The following is a 25,945-nucleotide window of genomic DNA, read 5'->3' as shown; positions in this document are numbered from 1 at the left end:
CCAGCGAAACTGGCATATGCCCTTCTGAGTCTTTAGTTTATGACCATCTTTTTTTTCTTCCCCATTTGACCTCCACACAGAAGTAAGAGGCTGTAATAATTAACAAACCCAGTTTATGGCCAGTACTGATTTGATAGTAAGTGGTGTCATAACAATATGTGACTGCCAAGTTTCTGTTAAATTTCAAATTTGATTGCTTTTTGGTAAGGCTGTCGGTCTCTGTTTTCTTTTTTCAATTGCTTATATTTTCTGAGCGCCTTGAGGCTCTGTAAAGTTCCTACTCAGCTAAAATAACATGGAATCTAATGTGAAAAATCCAGTGGAGTTTAACTATAAATTATTCCGTGTTATAGTCAAAGGCTAGAGGTTTTCATTGATCACATCAGCAACGGTGAGCTCTAATTGCATTAGGTTACTTGATAATGTTCTAACATACAACTTTTGCAGAGTATTGTTTGAAAGACAATTCTTTGAAATAAATGGAAGCATCAGACACTGCACCTTAAAGGAAACTGTCAGATCTGAAATCAGTTACCGAAATACATACGGCAAAATTAAATGCCTTGTCAGACTATATAATTGACATATATTGCTGCAACTGTGTGAACCGGGAAACTTTGAGCGATGATCACTTTTTTCCGTAATCTTGACTTGCTATCTGAAAATATTTTTTATACCATCTTTTGTGAACTCTGAACGTAAACTAAACAGGGTATCATTCACCTTTGCATCTCCAGCATTTGGCCTTCGTCCAGTATATATGAGGTATTCAAAAAATGAATAAATAGATGAATAATAATAACTTTTCCGTATATACCAAACTCTATACAAAATGTTTTATGTGCACTTCTTATTAATTCTTTGCAATAACACCATGAAGTCATTACCCATTGTTAATTTTACAGATGAGAAACTGAGGCTCAGAAAATTCATGTAACTAGCAAAGGGCAAAGCAGAGGTTTTGGCAGTTATAAGTTACCCATTCTTAACTGCTATGTTATAGTTGGTGAGTGCATAAAAATTTTAAGCATATAGTGATTGGCATGTATAAATATTCATTTGTACAGTGCGACCACAGTGCCAACATGGCAATGGGACACACACCCTACAACCCACAGGTTATGATGAGACGCTGCCAGTGGAAGCACTGTTACTGAACAAGAGGTTTAGGTTAAAATCATTCTACGTGGTTGCCATAATTTATGAAATCATCAGGATATTCTCTAATTCTAAATAGTCTCATCCACTTTTCCTATTGAAGGCACGAGGCAGTCATCTGTCACAGGCAAGTAGCCATCATGTGAAATTATGGATTTTTTCCAATATAGCCTTATATTAAATAAGCAAAACTTGGAAAAACATTATTTTGAATCAAATTTTTTTTCAGACAATAGGCAGATAGCTAAGACAGGTTTAAATTATATTCAATTACAAAAATATAACTGACTCAATTATTCTTTCTTAGGTATCAAACTCCTGAAGGGCAAGAATTTGAACTGTGTAGTAACAAGTTCTGCATATCCGGTAATTAGGGAACTCTTTTTAGATACACATATATATAGGTATAATAACAACATAGAATTATAACAAATCCTGAGACTACTTTCTAAAAACAGAAAAAAAGAACTCTGAGTTATTGATAATTTTTTGTCTAAAGCATTAAGCAGAGTAGCGAAGAAGGCTCTTACCTTGAAAACAAGGTCCAAATTGAAACCTTGGTTCTGCCACTTACTAGCTGCATGCCTCAGTTTTCTTGACAGGCCTATTAAAAACTCCATGGGCTTGTTAATTACATTGGTCACAGTCATTGCTGTATCTGAACAGTGTAATAAGTAATGGGAATAACAATAATAGAAAACAGTTTTGATTGCTTTCCATCTGCCAGAGACTGAACCCAGTAAACAAACAAGCACTCACTGCATTGTGAAAGTGCATTATTATGATGCTCATTTTATGAATGGGCAAATTCAAGCTTAAAGCTCAAGTAACTTACCTAAGGTCATACAGATAGGGAATGACACAACCAGGATTTGAACTCAAGCTATCAAACTTGCAAACGAAACTTTAAAAAATATTTGCTACAATTAAGAAAGGTAGGAAGGGAGGGGGCAAAGGAAGGAGACAGGGACAGAAAGAATAATGAATGATGGAATGAAAGGAAAGAAAGAAAAGGAAATGGAAAAGGAGAGAAGGCAAGGCAGTGAGGAACGAGTGGGAGGCAAGGAAGATGGATGGGAGGAAGGGAGAAAAAAAGTAGAGGAAAAGAAAGGGAAGGAAAGAAAGAAAAAACATCACAAGGTTGCTATGAGGGCTAAATGAGATATGGTTATGAAAGCCCTTTGTGGTACACAAAGCAAGTTAAACATGCAAGGTAATACTGCATGATAGTAAAGGTAAGTATCAATAAGCATTGGGAATTAAATGTCAATACCAGTGGAGAAAACTGCTGTAAATAAGGCATTACAAAGCAAATCAAATTTAAAAGACTGACTTGACTGGTTGTTTACTGAATTATAGGCAAAATGCATTTTCCTCGCCCAGTCAGCTATACAGCTATGAAATCCTCTTTCGTCTGTTGGGCATAGAGGATGAATGTGCTCTAATAGGGGAAATGTTTCTCCCCACAGCTTCATTTACAGCACAAAAATGACAGCACAGAGGACCTGGCTTGAGTCCGCTGGCATCAAATAGATCTAAGCATTCTGATGTCGCAAATAGCAAGGAAGCTAGTTATTCAGTCACATTTACCAGGCAGTTCATTCAACTTTGGACCACCCTAAAATAGCCCTCCTATTTCCTCTCTATCATTCACAACAAATAAAAGAAATAGTCAGATTTCAAAGAGTCACTTGGAGATATGGTAAGGTGTCTACAGGTGAATGAATATATTTCACACAAAATGATTTGCCACCCAGAGCAGATACTCAATACAGGGGAAATGAGCCATTTAAAAGCAGTAAAGAGAGCCAGCCCTGGAAGGCCCTGGGTGGCAGGCTTAGGATCCTATGTTCTAAGCAAGAGAGTGCAGAAGTAATTCTAAAACTATGGCCGGATTCACGAAGGTACCTTAAGTACCTTAGGAGAAAGGGTCTGAAAAATCCATTTCATCCTTTCAGCCACAGCTTAAAAGCCATTTCATCAGACAAGTCTTTTTCGATCTCCCACCTAGACTAGGTCCTCTAGCATGTACTTTCAGAGTAGTCTGTTCCTCTATTTCACAGACCTTGTAATACTTTTAACCTTTTAAATGTTTTGTTATAGCAAATTATAAAATAATCAATAACATTCTCCCATGTACTCAACACCCAGATTCAACAGTCGTCATAAATTTACATTTGTTTCATCTAGCTCTTTCTTCTCTTTCTTCTTTGATATTAGTGAAATACTTAAAGCAAAACCCAGGCATCATGCCATTTCATGTCTAATTACTTCAATATGCATGTCTTAAAAATAATCAGCTGACCAGTCGCGGTGGCTCACGCCTGTAATCCAAGCACTTTGAGAGGCCGAGGCAGGCAGATCACCTGAGGTTAGGAGTTCGAGACCAGCCTGACCAACATGGAGAAACCCTGTCTCTACTAAACATACAAAAATTAGCCAGGCATGGTGGCGCATATCTGTAATCCCAGCTACTCAGGAGGCTGAGGCAGGATAATCACTTGAACCCGGAAGGTGGAGGTTGTGGTGAGCCAACGTCGCACCATTGCACTCCAGCCTGGGCAACAAGAGTGAGACTCCATCTCAAAAAAAAAAAAAAATCAGCTATTTTTTAAAAATTATTATTATTATTATTATTTTTGAGAGTCTCACTCTGTCACTCAGGCTGGAACCAGGCCGCAGTGCAGTGGTGCAATCTTGGCTCACTGCAACCTCCGCCTCCTGGGTTCAAGTGATTCTCCTGTCTCAGTCTCCCGAACAGCTGGGACTACAGGCATGTACCACCACTCCCGGCTAATCTTTGTATTTTTAGATAAGTTTTCACCATGTTGGCCAGTCTTTTCTCTAACTCCTGACCTAAGGTGATCCACCCACCTCAGCCTCGCAAAGTACTGAGATTACAGGCATGAGCCACCACACCCAGCCTGAGAGTTTTTTTTTTAAAAAAAACACTATCTCAGCCTGGGTCCCCCTAAAAGTAGAGCTGGAAACAGGGGCTTGTATGTAAGTTGTTATTTTGGGAAGTGATCCCAAGGAGTGTGGGGCTGAGAAGACTGAAACAGGGAAGGAGGGAAAGCCTACCCAAGGATGATGCATTATGCATTCTCAGAGAACTAATTCCGTGGGCACATGGGGCTGGGTTCTGCTGAGGACTCTCAGAGGAGCTGTAGAATGCAATTTAGATCATTTATTGAGTGACCACAATGGGAAGTATTTATCCACTGATTCTCCTACCCACTGGTCAGGAATCACCCCACGGAGCATTAACTCTTACACTCCCAGATTGGCAATGGAATGCTTCAGAAAGAGACAGAATAGCTGGAACAGTTACCACAGGTGTCCCATAGGGGAACAGAGGCACCCAGAGGAGAAAGAAAGGCATGTGGTGAAGTTTAGGGGAGGTGCTATCAGGCTTTACCTGGGCAACACTAGGGGTAGCCGCAACAGCTGGGGTGAAAAGGTGGACTGAGAGGATGTGACACAGGACACAAGAAGTACTTGACACAACTACAATGTTATTGTCACTGCTAATCAAATTCATTCCAATTCCTAAGTACCAACTCACACCCAGTTCTAAATCAAATTACTCTATCATTTCAAAGATGTCTTTTTAGAGCTAGTTTGGTCTAATAAGTACTCATACAGGGTCCACAAGAAAACTTGGTTGCTGTGTCTTTAAATCTTGTAATCTAGAACAGCCCACTTTCACCTTGTTCCATGCCATTGATTAGCACAAAAAAAAAGTCAATTATCCTATGGAACATTCCATATTTTGTGTTTACCTGATTAGAAAGTCATTTCACTTTCTCTTGCTCTTTTTTAAATTTAAATTTAAATTTTTTAGAGATTGCGTCTTTCTAGTTTGCCCAGGCTGGCCTCAAGTGATCCTCCTGCTTTGGCCTCCTAGAGCCCTAGGATTACAGGAGCTAGCCACTAAGCCTGGATTATTTCATTTATTTCTCTATCTCCAATATTTTCTATAAATGATTATAAGCTCCAACGGTCTGGTTAAACACAGAAAAGCTTTTCTGTCAAGGAAAGATTGCAAATGAGGCTATGTACTTCACAGTGCATCCCACTGGAAGACACATGTGGTGGAGTGAATGGCGCCCCTCAGAAAGATATGTCCACATCCCAATCCTCAGATATGAATATTACCTTACATGGCAAAAGATGTGATTCACTTGAGCATCTTAAGAAGAGGAATTTACCCTAGATATCTTGGTGGATTGTATGTGCAATCATATGTATTCTCACAGGACAGAGGCAGAGAGAGTTTGAAAGAGAAACACAGAGGTCTTATGAAGATGAAGACAGAGACTGCGGTGATGTAGCCACAAGCCAAGAAACACTAGGGCAGCAACCAAGAATCTAGAAGAGGCAAGAAACGAATTTTCCCCTAAAATCCCTGGAGGGAGCACAGTGCTGCCAGATATTGGACTTCTGGCCTCCAGAATACTGAGACAATAAATGCTAGGTAACAGTAGGAATGTAATAGCCTAACTCCTTCATTGCCAATTTCCCCACAAACTTTCCTTTTAATGGCTCCATTCATTGATGAGTGTAGCCTGCATTCATTATTTATTTAAGGGAAATAAAATAGTGATTTGTGGATTCTATCACTCCTTTCTCCTTTCTTGGTAAGAATTTTTTCACACACAAAACTAAACTTTCCTTGATCACCTTGGGCTTTTTGGTTATTTTAAAATATAGTTCATATAAGAACCACTAAGAATAAATACTTAATTCCACCTTTTCAACTGCTATATTCCCAAATAAGGAATTGGTCTTGATGGTTATTTAAATCCCTATTTATGCCATTGTTTATCTAACATCCGTCTCCTCCACAAGACTGTAAGCTCTGTGGAGCAGAAAATCTGTCTACCTTCTTTGCTGCCTAATCGATAGTGCCTGCCACAAAAGAGAAGCATACCTAAGACATTTTAATAAACAAGAACTCCTACTATCTTGGAGAAATCCCAGAGTCCCAAGAGGAATATGAAGTTGCCCCCTTCTGCTTGCCTTTTTTTTTTTTTTAATCCCAAAGCCCTGAAATTATTTCAGGGGATTTCTTTTCCCCATCCCTAAAGCAAGGAAGCAAAATCCTCTGAGGCAATATAGCAACTCCTTGTGAAGAGAGCCAAATTTTGAAAGGAAGGAATTTCAGGGCCACTTAGGTGAAGTCCGAGCTTATTTTTCTCACCAGAACCATCCTGTTAGGATGTCAGTGCAGGGAGAGACTTTGGCAATCATCTAGTCAAGTGCATTTAAACCTTGCAAATTCAAAACAGCCATCACTACAGTAATAACATCAATCATAATAGTAATAATCATAAACATACCATATGAATCTCCAGGCTCACTGAAACAACCCCTTCAGGAACATCTCAGGAAACTACATCTTAAGTTCCTTGGGTAATTCTGATGTAGCTTGTCTGTAGCACTGGGTTTGAACAATACTGCTATAGTGGAGAGGCTTTCAAAATAATATTTAATAACAGAACCATTGGTAAAACCTCTGTAAAGGTCTGATGTTTTAAAAATTAATTCACTCTAAAACTACTTAATGAAAGCTTCCTAAGAGCTAGAAACTATTCTAGAATCTGAGCATACAGAGGGAAACAAAATTGAAAAGGTCCCTGCCTGCTATGGTTTGAATGTGACTCCCCAAAATTCACATGTTGGGAACCTAATCTCCAATGCAACAATGTTAAGAGGTGGGGCTTAATAAGAGATTGGGCCCCACCTCTTAAAGTAAGTTCAGCCCCTGGTGCCTCTCTCTGTCTTGTGTGCTCACTCCACCTTCCACCATGGGATGACTCTTACCAGATGCCAGGACCATGCTTTTGGACTTCCTAGCCTCAAGAACCTCGAACCAAATTAAACCTCCATTGTTTATAATTTACCCAGTCTGTGGTATTCTGTTAAAGCAAAAGAAAACAGACTAAGACACTGCCCTTGTGGGACTCACATTGGGAGGCAGAAGGCATAGAACAAACTGAAAATAAATAAGTAAATAAGCATATACATATATACCACAATAGCCCCCTTGTACCTTTCTTAGAAAACATAGGTTTTCCTGAAACACAATTGGAAAGTGTGCTCTCCACAAGTACGTGAAGTTACAGGAAATTGTTACCCAACCTCCCAAAGCCAGACCCCGGCAGAGTGGGGATTCCTGCAAACATTCCTTCCTTTGACTCTTATCTACACATGGCCCTTAACATAGAGGTCCAGACAATTTGTTCACTTGGCTTCAGTTTTCACTAGTTAATGAACCCGGTTGGGAGGAGAATGACTACTAGAGGGAAGGAGAGAAATACAATCAGCCTCAGAATTGGAGCGCCTTTATCCAAATCAGCCAGAAGGCACAGCAAGCAGCTCATGGCAGGGATATGTCTGAAGCATCAAGTCCAGGATTTTCAGCCTGTATTTTGCAGGACCAGAACTGAATCAGCATTACCTAAAAAGCCTTTCAAAATACTAAATCCTAGAATGTTGTCCCCAAATATCTTATTCAATGGAATCAGAGTGATACCTGGAAATATGTATTTTTGTGAATCTCTGTATCAGACCTGTCTTTTTGTTGTTGTGAGAACAGTAAAAAACAACTCTCGCCTATTTAAGGGGAAAATAAATATTTTGGAAGTTTATAGTGTGGCTCTCAGAATGAAAGAAAATGCTTAAAATTCAGACCTTGGAAAGAATAAGAACTGAGAGTTATGGGAGTCTGGGAAACAAAACTTAAAAGATGGCTTCTCCACAAGTCATAGTAAAAAAGAATTGGCCCCTACTGTTATCCATGCATGTGTCACTCTAGTCAAGATTAAATTGATTAAATTCCAATAGAAAAAATGTGACTAACTTGACTTGGGTTATATCTCTGTTTCTTGGCCGTGGAAAGAGAGGTATTTCAATTATCAGTACCATCAACACTTCAAATCATGGAGAGATAATTAGCCAAAGACAAAAAAAAAAAAATGCTGTTAGAGCAAATGTGCACCTCTGCCTCCCCAGGTGATTATGAGGCACAGCCAGGTTTGCAAACCAGTGGCTTGGTTCAACCACCAAACAACCACCAACCAGATATTTGAATTCTCCCTACAACAGGCATACCAATGCACTTGAATGCAAACTTCCCAAGAGAGCTCGAAGTTCTTTCTTCTTAGAATAAATATATCAATTGCTTTTCTAAAGGAGTCTGCCCTCCCTCATGTCCCTGTTGAATAAACAGAGTATCTCACCTCACAGATAGTCCTAGCTAACTCCTCCCTGCTCAGTTTGCGAGGTCACACTGGCATCTTACCACTCCTTAAGCACACATCTCCTGAAATTATTTTGCGCTTGCTGATCCCTCTGCATAGGACACTCTTCCTCCAGAAACCACACATCTTATTCTCTCCCTTCCTTCATTCAGTTCCTTAATTTAAATTAGCTGGCTGGATGCAGTGGCTTATGACTATAATCCCAGTGTTTTGGGAGGCTGAGGTGAGAATATTGCTTGAGCCCAGGAGTTCAAGACCAGCCTGGGCAACATAGTGAGACCTCATTTCTACAAAAAATTAAAAACTAGCTCAGCATGGTGCTGTGTGCCTGTACTCTCAGTTCCTCAGGAGTCTGAGACAGGGGAATCCCTTGAGCCCAGGAGTTTGAAGCTACAATGAGCTATGATCATGCTGCTGTACTCCAGCCAGAGTGACAAAATAAGATTTTGTCTCAAAAAAAAAAAAAAAAAATTGGCTGGGTGTGGTGGCTCCCGTCTGTAATCCTGGCACTTTGGGAAGTTGAGACAGGCAGAGTGCTTGAGCTTAGGTTCAAGACCAGCCTGGGCAACAAAATGAGACCCCATCTCTATAAAAACTATAAAGATTAGCCAGACATCGTGGCGCATGCCTGTTCCCAGCTACTTGGGGGGCTGAGGTGGGAGGATCACTTGGGCCCAGGAGGTCAATGCTGCAATGATCTGAGATCACATCATGGCACTCCAGCCTGGATGACAAAGTGAGACTGTCTCAAAAAAAAAAATTACTTTAAGTTCACTTATTTAAAAATCAGCTTCACCCCTCTCCCCAGTACTTCCTAGCTCCTTTTCCTGCTTTTTTTTTTTCTTTTCACTTATCGCTGTCTGACATACTATACATTTTCTTAATGGATTTGTTCATTGTCTACCTTCCCCCTCTAGAATATAAGCCCCTTGAGGACAGGAAGCTAGTATGTTTTATTCAGTTGTATATCCTCACTCTTGTAACAGTGCCTGTCATATTGAAAATGCTCAATAAATATCTGATGAATATATATATATAACATCTTTGAAATACCTCTATCAGTATCAACTGTGGCACTTTGTTCAAAATTTGGCTTTATGTCCCACCCCCTTTCAGAACCTTCAGTAAGCGGAGACTAGGAATCTGCATTCAGAATCTTCCCAAGCGATGCAAATGAACAACTGAAGTTTGAAAATTGCTACTTTAGCTTTCTCCAAAACCAGCATAAACCCCCTTTTCATGTTATACTTCATTAGATGTTTAAAGACAGCTCTTCTATCCCCTTCCTCTAACCGACTTTGGGTTTTCTTTGTCTTAGACTGAACAGCTAAACCTTCTAGAGCCATCCCTCCTACAAGGCCCCTTAGTACCCCAGAAGGTCAGGCTGCATTCTCTGAATGCACTTCCATTCATTGTCTTTCCATTTAGAGTGATCTTGGTTGGGGAGTGGGTCTCTAACCGACAGCTCTCTAAAGACCCTTGCACAGTTTTTGAAATTAGTTCTTACACTTGAGAAACTCTGCCCTTTTTCCCTTTGCACTATCCCTTGGGAAGATGTTCAAAAAGATGACAATGTTCAGGCTTGTGATCTCAGAGTAGAAAATACACCCAGGCTGTGTGTTTCTGTCCTGTGTGTTTTTGCCCCATTAGAGACCAGACAGAGCATCTGTATATGAGTCTCCAACAAACGATCACATGAAAAATGATGTGTGATGACAAGGCAAAGAGTGCAAAAGAGATTGTCAAGTGAAAGGAGAGGACATAAAGGAGTTATTGTCAGAGAGTGTGTTGGTCAACAGATAGATAGCAATCTAAAGAATGTCTTCTGTTAGAGTTCTACATAGCATACAGCTTATGCTCTACCTGAGTAGGCTGGGTTTTGTTTCATTACACTGAAAGAGTAAATGGTACCTTAATATATATTTTCATTACCAGGGTATCTATTATTCAGATCATCTATGTTAGCTAACTGATTATGCTACTGCATATTTTTTTATTGTTCCAAAAATTTGAAAAAGCAAATTTGGCAAAAATCTTGGAACTCAGCTTTCCTACAAACTAGAGTAGTCTTCGTTGATTAATTCATATAACCAACATGCTAGGCAGACTAATATCCAACCCCGCCCATCAAATATTCACACCTTAGTCCTCAGAACCTGTAAATACATTATGAGACAAAAGGCAAGTGTGATTATATTAAGAATCTTGACGAGGGTAGAAAATCTTGGATTCTCCAATAGGTCCAATTCAATCTCATGAGTCCTTAAAATCAAAGAATTTTTCCTGTGGTTCAGAGAGATGTGACTATGGAAGCATGATCAGAGAGAAGCAAGGTTATTGGCTTTGAAGTTGGAAAAAAAGAGCCATAAGCCATGGAATGTTGGTGTCCTCTAGAAGCTGGAAAAGGCATGGAAACAGATTCTCCCTGACAGCCTCCAGAAAAGACCACAGCCCTGCCAACATCTTGGCTTTAACCCAGGTTTCAGACTTGCAAAACTGTAAGATAATAAATTTGTATTTATTGAAGCCACCAAGTACATGGTAATTTATTATAGAAGGAACAGAAAACTAATACAACCAATGTGCAGATATAGTAATAAAATAAAGTATATCAGGTACTATGCTCATAATAGCTTCATTAGTAAAAGTCCCAAATTAGAAACAATTCCGATCTACCAAAAGGCAATTACACCCTGGGTACTGTCACGGATATATCCAGTTGACAAAATTCATCAAACTGCAACAGACAATAAATACAATTCTCTATATGTATATTATAATGCAATAAAATTTATTAAAGGGCAATGATGGTACATGTGTCCATGTATGTACCATCTATACTATGCAATCATTTAAAATTCATGGTTTAACAGAGAAGTCAGCAAACAATCTGGCTCAATGCCTGCTTTGAGCACAACCATACCCATTCATTACATATCCTCTATGGTGGCTCTCTTGCTATGGTAGCAGAATTCAGTAGGTGCAACAGAGACCATGTATCCTGTAGAGCCACTAAAATATTTCCTCTATAGTCTGTATTTCAGAGCATACCACAAGGAGTTCCATGTAGATTTTCTTAAGTTTCTAGATATTTTTTCCCAGTCATTGGCACAACCAAAGGCAGAGCTTTCAAACCAAGTCTCTCACCTACCAGGTTGGCAGCCAAGCAGGCAGTGGCTTTTTATTCATCCACTTGACAGATATGTATTGAGTGCTGGGTAAACATGGGCCAGGCCCTGTGATAGAAGCTGGATATACTTAAATGCATAAATTACATATGTCTAGCCCCTTGTGGAGGTTACGATTCTATCAATCTGCGCAGTCCAGATGTGGAAGTCCCCAAAGGTGATTCATGAACCACCAGCATCAGCATCACTGGGAAATTGCTACAAATGCAAATTCTCAGGCCCTACACTGCCTCTATTGAATCATATATCTAGGGATGGACCCAACTATGTGTTTTTTCCAGACCAGCAGGAAATTCTGTTGTATGTTCAAGTTTGAGAATCACTGAACTAAACCCAAAAGGTCTGTGCTAGGATAAGTGTTTCGTGAACCAGATTTTAGGAATGGAAATAGCTCTTCACAACACCCATGCTGGAAGATACTTTGTCCACCTTAACTATCTGTCTTACCCATTGTTTTGTTGCTTATAACAGAATACCTAAACCTAGGTAATTTATAAAGAAAGGAATTTATTTCTTACAGATATGGAGGCTGAGAAGTCTGGAGTCAAGGGACGGCATCTGATGAGTGCCTTCTTGCTAGCTGGGACTCTCTGCAGAGTCCCAAGGCAATGTAGGGCATCACATGGTGAGGGAGCTGAGTGTGCTACCTCAGATCTCTCTTCCTCATCTTATAAAGCCACCACTCCCACTCACTTAATAATTCATTAATCCATTAACGCATGAATCTATGAATTCATGAATACATTAATCCATTCATGAGGGCAACACCTTCATGACCCAATCCCTTCTTAAAGTCCTTACTTCTCAATGATACCGCATTGGGGATTAAATTTCAACATGAATTTTGGAGGAGACAAATATTCAAACCATAGCACTATCCTATGTAATAATTTATTTTTATTAAAGTTATAGGAAATTGACAGCAAAGCACACCATAGAATGTGTAGATTGCTTAACATGTGCAGAATGCAGAGCAAGGCACTGCAGTCAATGCTAAGGAAATATAAAGGATGCTTGGTGCTGTGCTGCTTTCTCAGTGAGAGAGAAAAAGAACCCATAGTATCAGCATCATTATATACCAGAAATTGTCAAACATTTTCTGCAAAAGTCCAGATTGTAAGTACTTTAGACTTTGTGGGCCATATAATCTCTGTCACAACTATTCAACTCTAGTGTTGTAGCACAAAAGCAGCATATTTATAGACAATATGTAAATAAATGGGCATAGCAGTGTTCCAATAAAACTTTATTTACACAAACTGGTAGTGGGCCCTTAGGTTGTAGATTCCTGATCCCTGTCATATACCATTATTACCATATATCATTATACATGATGCCATGAACCATGCTATACGGCTTCACCACATATTTCATTTTGTTCAAATTTTAACGTAATTTTCCCTGTAATTTTGTCATATATGATCACCTAACTTTGACCTTCAAAAGCTCTGTTAATATCTTGTTAATGAAAACATTATTCAGAGCAGTAACCTTCAAGATATAATCTTACTTCAATGAATGAATACATTCTACTTGTTTATTATCACAATACTAGCTTCTGTAAAAAAAAATTCTGAGGTTGGCATTGCTATTTTAGAAATTAGAAACTAAAACTTAAAGAGGTTAAGCAATCGTTGAAGTTCATACAAAAAATAATTTTTTGAGCCAGGGTTCAAACTCTAGTATTTTTGGCACTGAAGCAGCCATTTCTGGGTACTATCTCCCCATGGAGTGAATATGCTTAAAATCTAACCAGAAATTGGGTTCAGGGTACAAATGGAATATTTATGCCTCTGTGGCTATTTCTCTTCTTGACTGTGTCCTATAATTATTATTTCAGTTTACAAGCATTTCATGTCTTTAAATTTCATGACAGTCACACATACATCATAGATAAGTCATAACCCAAAACCCTAAGCACATTACTAGTTAAGTAATGATAGAATAGGAAACATTCTGTAACAGCTCAATCAGTAATATAATATCCTTCACAATATAGTTCTATAGTCATCTGTATTAGTCTATTCTCATGCTGCATAGTAATAAAGACATAGCCCAGACTGGGTAATTTATAAAGGAAAGAGGTTTAATTGGCTCACAGTTCAGCATGATTGGGGAAGCCTCAGGAAACTTACTATATGTTACAATCAAGGGGAAGCAAACACGTCCTTCTTCACGTGGCAGCAGCAAGAAGAAGTGCCAAGCAAAAGGGGAAAAGCCCCTTATAAAACCATCAGATCTCGTGAGAACTAACTCGCTAACTAACTCACTATCACAAGAACAGGATGGGGAAAACAGCCCCCATGATGCAATTATCTCCATCTGGCCCCTCCTATGACATACGGGGATTATGGGTACTACAAATCAAGATGAGTTTGGGTAGGGACACAGCCAAATCACGTCATCATCTATCCCTGGTCTAATATCTACGTGACTGTTGGCAGGTCTTTTTCCTCCTTAGACAATTTTCCAGTCTAAAGCGGAAGGTCTTGGTCTATTGTTTATAAGTCTAACTTTAAATTCCAAATTCTAATTCTATAACAATATGACATTCTTCCTCAGTCTTCCTTTCTTATGGAACACAATCACATATGGTTACAGAATGCATTCTTTGGCTCTTGATACATATGTTGAACCAAATGTCCAACTTTGAAGGATTTACATCCTTAAAAATTAAGAAATGGATCATTTCAAGCCATAGAGGAGAAACAAATATCTGGGGCCACCATCATTTCTAAAGAAATAGTAAACAAAACCAAAGATTATAGAATCTTCAGGGAGTTCACTTGTGATATTCTGCAAATAGGAAGTGAAAATGAAAGTGATAAAATAAGGCTTGTTAAATCTGAGACTATGAGCAGATCTGTACAGATGGGAACATCAGTGAACAAGCACCCATGCATGTTTTCAGGTCAGATGAAGAGCCACTGAAAATAGATCAGAAAGCAACAGAGCCTGGCAGGGTGCGTCTGAAAGAAAATAATTTAAACTTAGCCTCCATGGGAAAAAGAAGCTCACCATCATCCCATTTCCCTTATAAGATATGGCTCTAATATGTTGGTCATTCAGAAAACAAGAGTCAATGGAGAGAAACACAGGATTTGGACAAACACATGAACAAAGAAATGGGTTCCAGCCTTTCCTGGGTATTCAGCAGCTCAACAATATGGATGATTTTTTTTCGTTCATGCTGAAATGAAAAATTTAAAACTTTTGTCATGAATCTACATTTATTTAATTTAAAGGGTTATATTATTTTCTCAGATTTTGTCCTTCCCTTTTTGTTGTTGTTGCTAAATTTCTTTCTTTTGCAAGAATGATGAGAATTTAGTTGGCTTTGCTTCTTTGTTGCCTTCACTTAAGAAAATAAAAGTAAATTTTGTCAACTTTATATCAGTTCCATTAAAAAAAAATTGAAATTGGGTACAATGTTCACTGCTTGGGTGATGGGTACACTAAGAGCCCAGACTTTGCCACTGAACAAATATACCCACATAACAAAACTGCTCGGGTACCCTCTGAATCCATACAAATATTAAAAACTAAATTTAATTTAAAAACAAAAATATTTGAAATTATTTTGGTTCATGAAACCCAAAAGGCTCAGGGGTCTGCTTATCGTGTGACATTTGGATGCTGTCACTCTGTGGATCTTGATAACAGCTTCATTGTTGAGCACCTATTCAAGTCAAGTACTTTACATTCATTATTTATAATTATTCCCCAAATTCTGCAAGGCATATATCGCCATTCAAAGTCTATGAATGATGATGATGAAGTTCACAGAAGTTAAAGGACAAGCCCAAGGTTACACAGCTATTAAAATGGACATCCTCAATGTCCTTTCTCAAAGGCAATGCAGCCACTTATATCTGACTACAAACCCACAGAAATCTCCATGGTGAATTATTGAAAATTGGCAAAACTCTTTTTTACTTCAAAGGGACACAAATGGCAATCAACAGACTCACATTCATCCTCACAGGCAACCCCCACAACTAAAATGTGAACATTTTCCCCTAACAGCAAAAAAGTTGTAAGTGATTTTAAATGTTTATATGTCTTAATGTGGCTCAATCCATCAGTAGCATTTTGGATATACTCCATTTTGGAAGAGTCGGAAAAACAGTTGGCAGCATTTTGTGCATTTTATTTTAATTTAGAGGGGGGACATTTGAGATCTGCAATTAAAAAGAGGTTTGCTTTGGCTGTGACGAACTGATGTAATTCACAATTTAAACTCATTTGAGAAAAATAACAACAGCTACAACTGTCACATTTGCCAGGGAGGGAAATAGGATGAACAACAACAGGGCCCGGGAGGAGAAAAACAGCTCATTGATAGGACTACAGATTATACAGATTAGTCATTGCAAGGGCAGAGTAAGCATCCATGGACAATCATTTGACATTTTATAAAATAGAATGGCGACTGCTTAACAATATTTTCAAAGGGATTCACCAAGAAGCTTTGATAATGATGGCCTATTTGAAGCTACAACCTAGTGATAGGTAGGGTATTAAAAGAAGGAAATTTTGCACACTGAATTGTTAAATTAGAATGTAAACTGGAGCCCAGAGTGGCATGAAATATATAGAACCAGTAGTCATAGAGGGAATCTTTCCATTCTGTCCTGTCACAAGTGAAAACTGAGAATTCTCACAGCTTGAGATTTTAAATCCTGGGGAAATTATAAATGGCTGGGTTTACTAAGGGACTACTCTGGGTCTGCAAAACTAACATTTACCCATTGAGTGGTTTACAAGAAAGCCTATGTTCTTGTGAGGCTTATTGCAGCATCCTCTTTGAAAACTCCTCTGGCCTTGAAAGTGAGTGAGACTTTGACAGAAACTAAGTTTTATTTCCCATGTGATGAACTCAAGCTATGGCTCAATGTTTTGAGTTTTTCACTCAAGCAATCAACATATATGAAGGAAATGACAGTTTGAAATATCAAACTGCATTTTGCTTCTTGGGAGGAAGTTGCTTTCCCCATTTACAGCTCTTCTGCCATGAAGATTGGGCTAAGAAGCTGAGACCAATTGCTGCAGAGATGGAGACAGAAGTGATACACAACCAGATATTTCCAGGAAGGAAAGTGGAAAGCCCTGCTAACAGGTATAGTCTTAAGGGAGACAAAAAAAAAAAAAAAAAAAAAAAGGCCAAGAATCTAGACCCTTTTGTCTTCCTATGTGCCTAGCAGATATGACCTTTGGACTCCAAAGTGCAACAAGCTAGCTACAGGCAAAGCCAGCATTAAGGACTGTCACCCCAAATACCAGAATGAGATAGGATCCCCCTTATAGCAACTGCTCGGGGAAGAAGAGCCAGAGAAGGGGAAGGACAAGCATCTAGAGCAGCTCTGTCCAATAGAAACATCATGAAAGCCATGCATACAATTAAAAACCTTCTGGTAACCACATTTGAGAATGCAAAATTAAACAGGTAAAAATTTTAATACTATAGTTTATTTAACCCAATATAATCAAAATTCTATAATTTTAATATATAATCAATACAAAAGTACTAATCAGATATTTTACGTCTTTAAAATCCAGTGCATATTCCATTGGATTTCATTTACAGCAAAGATCAATTCAGACTAATCACATTTCAGGTGATCAGTGGCCACGTGTATTGAGTAGCACAGATTAGAATAAATCAAGTTTAAATTTTAGGGCATTTTAAATCAGAAAAAAACAAGGGACCTTGAATAGACAAAACTATTTGCTTATTTTTCTGCTTAAATCCAGGGCAACAGTCAAAGAGAAAAGAGAGACCAGTATTAGAAAAATAAAAGTTGGCCAGGCATGGTGGCTCCTACCTATAATCCCAGTGCTTTTGGAGACTGAGGTGGGAGGATCACTTGAGCCTAGGAGTTTAAGACCAGCCTGGTAACATATGGTAACATAACCTCTTCTCTACAAAATTTTAAAAATTAGCCAGGTGTGGTGGCACACACCTGTGGTCCCAGCTACTTTGGAGGCCGAGGTGAGAGGATTGCTTGAGTCCAGGAGGTCAAGGCTGCAGTGAGCCAGGTTGATGCCACTGCACTGCAGCCTCAGTGACAGAGCAAGACCATGTCTCAAAAAAATGAAAAATAAATAAATTAGTTAAAGTGGAACCATAGAATTATGTAATTGACTTATTGTACTATTTCAGGTATCGCATAGAAAATCTAATCCTACTGCACAGAAGTCTACTGAGTGTCTACTATGTGACAGGTTTGGATGGGACTGAGAAAATGCAAAGATTAATAAGACACAGAATGGTTTATGATGCTCAGGGGTAGGCCCATGATAAAAAATAATAAAGATATGATAGAACATAAATAGAGACAAAAAGCAACAGTGTGGGAATCCAGGAAAGTCAGTAATTAATGTTTCTGGGTTGCTGTTGGCCATAAGCTCAAGGAGGGTTGCAACCATATCTGTTTTATTTGCCACTTTCTCAAGAGTACCTGACATAGGGCTCAATAAAAGTGTGTTGAACGAGTGAGTGAACGATTGCTGGTTAGAGAGAACCAGGTGAGGAAAGGCCTCATATTTGGTGTGGTATTTGAATTTGGCTTCGAAGAACTAACTGGTCTTCACCTAGGAGAGTAGAACACTTTAGACCAAAAGACCTGAACATCCAGGTAGGTGGATATTTAGGGCACATTCAGTCAATGATATTTGATCTTGTGAGACAGGAGTGTAGATGGAGACAGAAGATGAGATGGAAAAGTTAGGTTGGGGCCAGATGGTAAAAAATGTGGAGGGGTTTCTATGAACTATTTGCAGGATTAGTCTATTCTAGCCACGTACCGATAGCAGTATAGTGAGGTTAAAAATTCCTGCAATGCTAAAACAGACTTTTGCAGCATATTGATCTCCTGTTTTTAGAGCTTTCAGAAAGCAATCAACCATCAGACAGCCTAACAGTGGTAAACGACAATATACATTCTTTAGAGCTGACCGTACATTGCTGTTGAATTTTCCCCATCTCAGTTAACTTTCTTTTTCTTTCCTGAATAAATTTACGGAGAGAACAATATAAGCAGTGAATAAAATGAAAATGCACTGGGTTACATTTCACCCCAAAATAATAGAATGAGATTTTTTTTTTTAACGGGAAGAGGAGTGGTAATTTTTGCTCGCTGTTATCATCAAGGATTTCTTATCTACTAAAATAATATCAAATATACTATCCAACTGGTAATATTAACACATAAATCCCAGGACTACATCTAGAAATGTTTCTGCTATAAAAAAAGAATGTTCCTGACTAATGTGGTACATTTATAAACTCAATGTGCATATGGCAATAGCAAGTTTAGAGAGTGGCAATAAACAAACAAAAAAATAAAGAGGAGAGGATAGTTTATGAAGCTTATAAAGGCCTTATTAGAGCATTCGGGTAATTGGAAATTTGAATATGGCCAATACAATTTGGACCCAGGTTAAAACAGAGTTGGTTCAGTGTTGTGGTTAGCAAAATAAACATCAGAGTCAGATATGCAAGGGTTTCAGTACTGGCTCCTTTTGTTACTACAAGGTTGGTGCAAAAGTAATGGCAAAAACCGCAATTACTTTTGCATCAACCTAATAGTAAGTGACTTACCTCTCTGATCGTCAGATTTTTATTCATAAAATGAGGGGATCATAAACCTAACACTAAGGGTTGTTATGAACACTGCATGCAATTATAAAGAAGTTCCTGACACACGGTAACAGCTCAAAAAAGTGATGGCTATTGTTCTTCAGTCACTGAACAATTTTTCAGCATCTATTATGTACTAGGTTTTGGAAAATCAGAGACAAAAATATCTGACTTGAAAAAGTTCATTGTCTAATGCAACAAATATTTTCTGTAAGAGCATACATCATTACATAGACCTAGAATATATGCTCTATATAATAATAGTAATGTGTTTCTCATACAGGTTCACATAGCTTAGCGTTTCTCAATTTCAGCATGGTTGACGCTTAGGGATGGATAATTCTTGCTTGTGGGGGCTGTCCTGTGTGTTGTACAATGTTTATACACATCTCTGGCCTCTACCTATGAGATACCAGTAGCATTCACCAGTTGAGATAACCAACAACATCTAGTCATTGCCAAATATCTCTCCTTGGTTGAGAACTACTGGCATAGGCTGATGGAGATACTGCCTAAAAATCAGCCAGTATGGCTAAGGTTTTATTTAGTTACGAAAACCTGACTCCACATCCCCCAGTTTGGTGACATAACCACTTATCACTACAGCATCATCTGAATCTTGCCTCTACTCTATGTTCTGACACCCTCTTTCCTAATCCAGACCCCCTCTCTCTCTCATCAGAGCCACTGCCCAACTTGAACTGGTCTCAGGGCCTCTTTTCTCTTCCCACTCATTATACACATGGCAAGTAGATTGATCTCAAAACACAGCTCTGATCATAACACTCTCCTCTTCAAAAACCTACCCTTGTTCAGGGAAGGAATTTGCTAGTGCTTCATTGGCAGTGATAGAGAAATCAGTTTGTCTTGCTTTGCTTGGAACTTCCCCAGCTTTAGCATTTTAGGTTTGAAAGACTGAGAGAGCCGTGGCAAATAGGGGTAATTGGTCACTCACAGCAGTGAATTCAGTTTATTTCCAGATAATTTTTCTGTAGAACTCCAGAATGTACATAAGAGACACGAATCTTGGGCCTTAGACCCAGGTTGGTAAAATTTGTCATATATCTGTATTTGTATTTTTAAAATAACAGCTTAATTTCTGATTGTTCCTCTTTTTTTTTTTTTTTTTTTTTTTTAGGAGGGAAGAAAATCTCAGTCTAATTCGTGACCTCTCCCACATTCCCAGGGTTGAACCATGGTGCTGGGATCCTCAGCTGAGCCGAAAGTCTCAACAATAGACAGGCTTTCCTGGTTTCTCAGTGATGTGTGGGACCAAGGAATTAGCATCGATTACCCCCACACTCTTCCTGCCCACCTGGCCCTTCCAGTGCACAGGGTCTCTGCTGCTTCCATGCTGTGTCTGTTCATGGACAGCCATTGTCCTAAGGCTTTACTACCTCCCAGGCAGCCCCAGGATTCAGGCACTTCTAAACTTCCCTTTGGTCTCTCCAACCCCTCCACAATGTGGAGGGATACCTCTAATCTTGGGGGACGGGGAGAGGAAATCATATGCTCCCCTTTACTTCTTTAGCACATTTTGGTATGTATACCTGTAAGTTTTAGTCTTCTTACTTTTCTATTATCTTCTTCACCCAATTCCTCCAAAATTTCATCAAGGGGTCATAAATAGGTGGCCCTGGGGCTGACTACAGCGCACAGACAGGCATTGTGTGGCTTGCACAGTGTTTGGTTTTGTTGTTTAAGTTAGATTTGAATCCTTTAAAGAAGAAAAGTGGCTCTTCAGTTTACTACAGACCTCATCATCTCCTGGTTCTCTTGCACCCAGTCCACTTCACCTGTTTACGTTCCCTGTCTCATCCTTCTAGGTAATTTGAGTTTCCAACCTGTGGCCTTCACTATGGAAAAACAAAACAGGCCATGACTGTATACAGCATATTCTTATTTGAGCTGAAGGAAATACACAGAGGAAACATAATATAGATTCATATCTGTGACTCTATAGATAACAACTTCATGTCTCAAAATACTATGTTAGCCACACATGAAAAGATAGCAGCAAAGGTGCCACAGTGATGTGTGGGCAGGAGGTGCAGAGCACTAACACCTGGCCTCCTGAGTTTCAAAACCACAAGTCTGCTGGATGAATACAAATCTGTACAATAGCATTTCAGACTGCTTGTCATAAGGCAATTATCTCCTTTTTTAGTTCTCTCTTTCTCAGCCTCAACAATCAAACTATGTAACTTGCCCTTGCCTTCATCTGCCCTGCTCACTTTGCCCTGAATGATTTAGTTCATTATCTTCCCTCTATCCCTGAATGTCCTTCCTACTGATATCTATAGTCAGAAGCTTAATTATCCTTCAAGTAGGAACTCAAACTCTATCTTCTTATGCTTTTACAAAAGGTTCTTGTCTTCTTTTCAGGCTTATCCTCCTTTACCAGCCCATTAGCCATAGCAATTCCTCAGGAATCTTAGGGCCTCTCTTTTGATCCCCCTCCTTGGATAATCTCATTCATGATCATAGGTTCAATTATTATCTTTATGCAGATGGAGCGTGCACACACACACACACACACACACACACACACACATATATATGTATGTATGTATGTATGTATATATATATATATGCTCAGCCTGGGAGAGACCACATATTTAATACATATTTAATTTTAACAGTTTTTTTTTTTTGGTTGTTGTTGTTGTTCTGAGACAGGGTCTTGTTCTGTCACACAGGCTGAAGTGAAGTGGTGTGAACACAGCTTACTGCATCCTCAAACTGCTAGGCTCAATCAACCCTTCTGCCTCAGCCTCCAGTGTAGCTAGGATGACAGGTATGCATGCTCAGCTAACTTTTTTATTTTTTGTAGACACAGGGTCTCACTTTGTTGCCCAGGCAGATCTCAACAGCTCCTTTTTTTTTTGGATGTTTCAAAAGCATCTCAAGTTCAGCATGACTTAACTAATGATCTTTCTCCACTTAACTGAGATCCTTTCTCAGGAATGGCCACTGTGAATCAACCATTCTATTAACATGTCAGAAACCTAGATGTTGTTTAGGATGTGCCCTTCTTTCTTACCACCCATATCTAAAACATCACAAATGTGATGTTTTGTAAGGGGAAGATGGCCCAATAAGACCCACTCAAAGATGGTGTATCCAACTCTTGTGTTTATCATTGTAAATTGTGGGCACTTTGATTTCCTTCTTTTAGTGTTTTTGGAAGGAATCGTTCATCAATTCTGGGACATTGATAGCGTGAATTTCATAATCGGTAAGGATGAGAAGGGAAGTGCCTTGGCTGTGATAATTCCCCAGGATAAATATCACAATGTGAGGACCTATCTGAGTAGCCCACTCATGACTCCAGGTGCCTACCACTCTCTGTCACTGTGAACCCAGCTGTATTAGTCTAGGTTCTCCAGAGAAATAGAACCAATAAGAGATACAACTATAGATATAGATTTACTATAAGGAATTGGCTTGCATGATTACGGAGACTGAAAATTCAAAGATCTGCAATAGGCAAGTTGGAGACCCAAGACCAAAAGCAACAGGAGACTGATGTTCCAGTTTGAAAACAGACAGAGAAGGAGAATTTTTTCTGCTGCAGCCTTTTATTTTATTAGGCCTTCTCAACAGATTTGATGAAGCCTGCCCACACTAATGAGGGCAATCTGCTTTACTCAGTCCACCAATTCAAATGTCAGTATCATCTAGAAATACCCTCACAGATACACCAAGAAATAATATTTCACCAAATATCTGGGCACCTCGTAGCCCAGTCAAGTGGACACATAAAATTAACCATCACTCTCACTAAACATTGCTAACTCATCAACTAAACCTTCACTACCATCCCACTCAACCTCACCTCACCTCACTACCAACCATCAAGTCAACCTCACCTCACTAACTCATCAACTTCAACCTTCATCCCACATGGAAACCAGGTTCACCAAAGGGACATGCATCCCTTCTCTGAATCACGAGCTCCAACCATTCCTGGTAGCAGAGGCTGTGTCTAACCATCAGTCTTTCTCTGAAGGAGAAAAGAATGCCATAAAAACACAGCATTTCCCAAAGTTGATTCTATGGAACACCAGTCCCATAAGATACTCTGGGGAAAAAAAGAAAGATTTCTTGAAAACAAAATGTTATATCCCCATATGAGTTTTCTATGCTGCATAACATATCACCACAAACTTAGCAGCTTAAAGCAACCATTTTTTATCTAGGTCAGGAGTCCAAGCTTGGCTTGGCTGGGTCCTCTGCTCAGAGTCTAACAGGGGTGAAATCATGGTGTTAGCTATGTTCTTTCCTGGAATTCAGGGTCCTCCTTCAAGCTCATATGGTAGAATTCAGCTCCTGGTAGAGGCTGAACTGAGGCCCCCAGCAGAGAGAGATGTACTCTCTCCACAGGCAGTCGCACTTAGCTGTCTGTTCTTCAAGGTCAGTGCGAAGAGCCCAGTCCCTCTTATTTAGTCAGGCCCACACAGGAGATTCTCCTTTTTGACTAATGTAAAGTCAACTGATTTGTGATCCTTCACTTTTGCTACATCATATCGCCTACTCACAGGAGTGCTATCCCATCAGTTTCACAAATCCCACCCTCACTCAGTGGAAGATCAGATAGGACAGGTAGGCTAGGGGGTTAGAATCCTAGGAGCCTGCCATAACTCAGATTTAGTTTGTGAATTAGCATATTATGGGCTCTGAGAAATCCTATAGTAAAGAAATACGGTTAACTTTGTTCCACCTATTGTTAACCAAATTCATTTGGCCCATATAAAAACGTAATTTTCACATAGCACCAATTATCATCTTTGTAGTTACTGGTTTGTGTCATCCATGTTTTGGGATATGCTGAAACAGAAAAGGCCTGCACTGTGAAGTTAGACTGTCCATGATTAAAATTCCCACACCGGACCAGGTGCGGTAGCTCATAACTGTAATCCCAGCACTTTGGGAGGCTGAGGCAGATTGTTTGAGCTCAGAAGTTCAAGACCAGCCTGGGCAACATGGCAAAACCCTGTCTCTACTAAAAATACACATGCATAAAAAAATCATAAAGAAAAAAATTTTTTTAATTTTTTAAAGGAAAAAAAATCCCCACTGTGACACTTCCAAGTGACTTCAACTTGGGCAAATTTCTTGACCTCGCATAACCTTGATAAAATGGATGTGGACTATCAGCACTCCACTTCTCAAGCTGTTACCACAATGCAATGGAAGTAATTAACACCTTGGAATATGCTTGGCACAGGTTAGAGGTCCAAAAAGATTTTTTAAAACATTTTGGCTCCCTTCTTTCCCATTTTTCACATGAAATTTTATAAACAATTACAAAAATGATACTCTATTAATGTTAGAGTGTTATAAGCTTCCTAGATAACAGACTTGAAGCTTCATAACATCCTTAAGCTAAAAAAATTACTTAAATTTAAGAGGTAGGTTGGGCATGTTGGCTCATACCTATAATCCCATCACTTTGGGAGGCCGCGACAGGTGGATTACCTGAGATCAGGAGTTCGAGACCAGCCTGGCCAACATGGCAAAACCCTGTCTCTACTAAAAATACAAAAAAAAATTAGCTGGGTGTAGTGATGCACACCTGTAGTCCCAGCTACTCAGAAGGCTAAGGCAGAAAATCACTTGAATCTGGGAGGTGGAAGTTGCAGTAAGCCGAGATCATGCCATTGCACTCCAGCCTGGGCAACAGAGCAAGACTCAGTCTCAAAAAAATTATCATCATAATAAAATAAATAAATAAATTTAAGAGGTAGAATCTTTATTTATTCTGCCCATTGTAATTAATTTATGTTTAAAACAGCATGTTTCATCCATACTACCAGCACAATGAATCCAGAAATGAATCATTGGCATATGTATGTAAAGAGTTTCAGAACCCTTCTAAACCACCAAAGCAACAAAAACATGAAGAATTTGATGTTATTGTCTAAGTTGAATTGGTTAACATTGATTGAGATGTAACAACAATGTTAACTGCCGTTCCTTTTATAATAATTCAAGCAAAGTATTATGTAAAACCTTCAGCAACATAATGTAAATCACAAGCTATTTAATGCCTTCAGAACAAGTACCAACTATTACAGAGAAATTATTTGACATTTAGGCTAACCTGCAGGGGAATGTCTGTACAGTACTGATTAAAAAGGTATAAAATGACAAAACTTGTGATTAATATTTAAACACTGTAACAATTGTGTGACCTCCTGCAAAGCATCCTTTCTCAGCCTCAGTTTGCTTATCAATAAAATGAGTATAGCACCCACATCATAGGAATATTGTAAAGATAAAATACATAAAACTTAGCGTAGTGTGCATTACTTATTAAATGCAAAGTTAATTATTATACAAATTCAAGTTACAATTTGTGTTAGTCCATTCTCACAGTGTTATAAAGAACTACCTGAGACTGGGTAATTTATGAAGAAAAGAGATTTAATTGGCTCACAGTTTCGCAGGCTGTACAGGAGGCATGGCTGGGGAGGCCTAAGGAAATTTACAATCATTGCAGAGGTGAAGGGGAAGCAAGCACGTCTTCTTACGGATGGCAGGAGAGAGAGAGAGAGAGAGAGAGACAGAGATAGAGAAGGGGAAGATGCTACACACTTTCAAACAACCAGATCACGTGAGAACTCTATCACAAGATAGCACTTGGGGGATGGTGCGAAGCCATTATAACCACCTCCATGGTCCAGTCA

At 39.0% G+C, this 25,945-nt stretch overlaps 1 long non-coding RNA gene across 2 annotated transcripts in view, besides 1 other annotated feature; it reads right to left on the bottom strand.

Annotated features, from left to right (window-relative positions):
- Window positions 1-25,945, bottom strand: part of SUCLG2-DT (SUCLG2 divergent transcript) — a 293,017-nt gene that overhangs the window by 247,531 nt on the left and 19,541 nt on the right. The gene's annotated exons all lie outside the window — the stretch shown is intronic.
- Window positions 21,269-21,428: a silencer, noted in NCBI's record as "silent region_14513". NCBI's record gives its function as "represses an Ori minimal core promoter by ATAC-STARR-seq in GM12878 lymphoblastoid cells {active_cell/tissue: GM12878}" and the evidence as "EXISTENCE:reporter gene assay evidence [ECO:0000049][PMID:35858748]".

The sequence above is a fragment of the Homo sapiens genome, chromosome 3, assembly GCF_000001405.40.
Source record: "Homo sapiens chromosome 3, GRCh38.p14 Primary Assembly".
Classification (NCBI taxonomy): Eukaryota; Metazoa; Chordata; class Mammalia; order Primates; family Hominidae; genus Homo; species Homo sapiens.
This window is presented reverse-complemented; position numbering and strand designations above follow the sequence as displayed.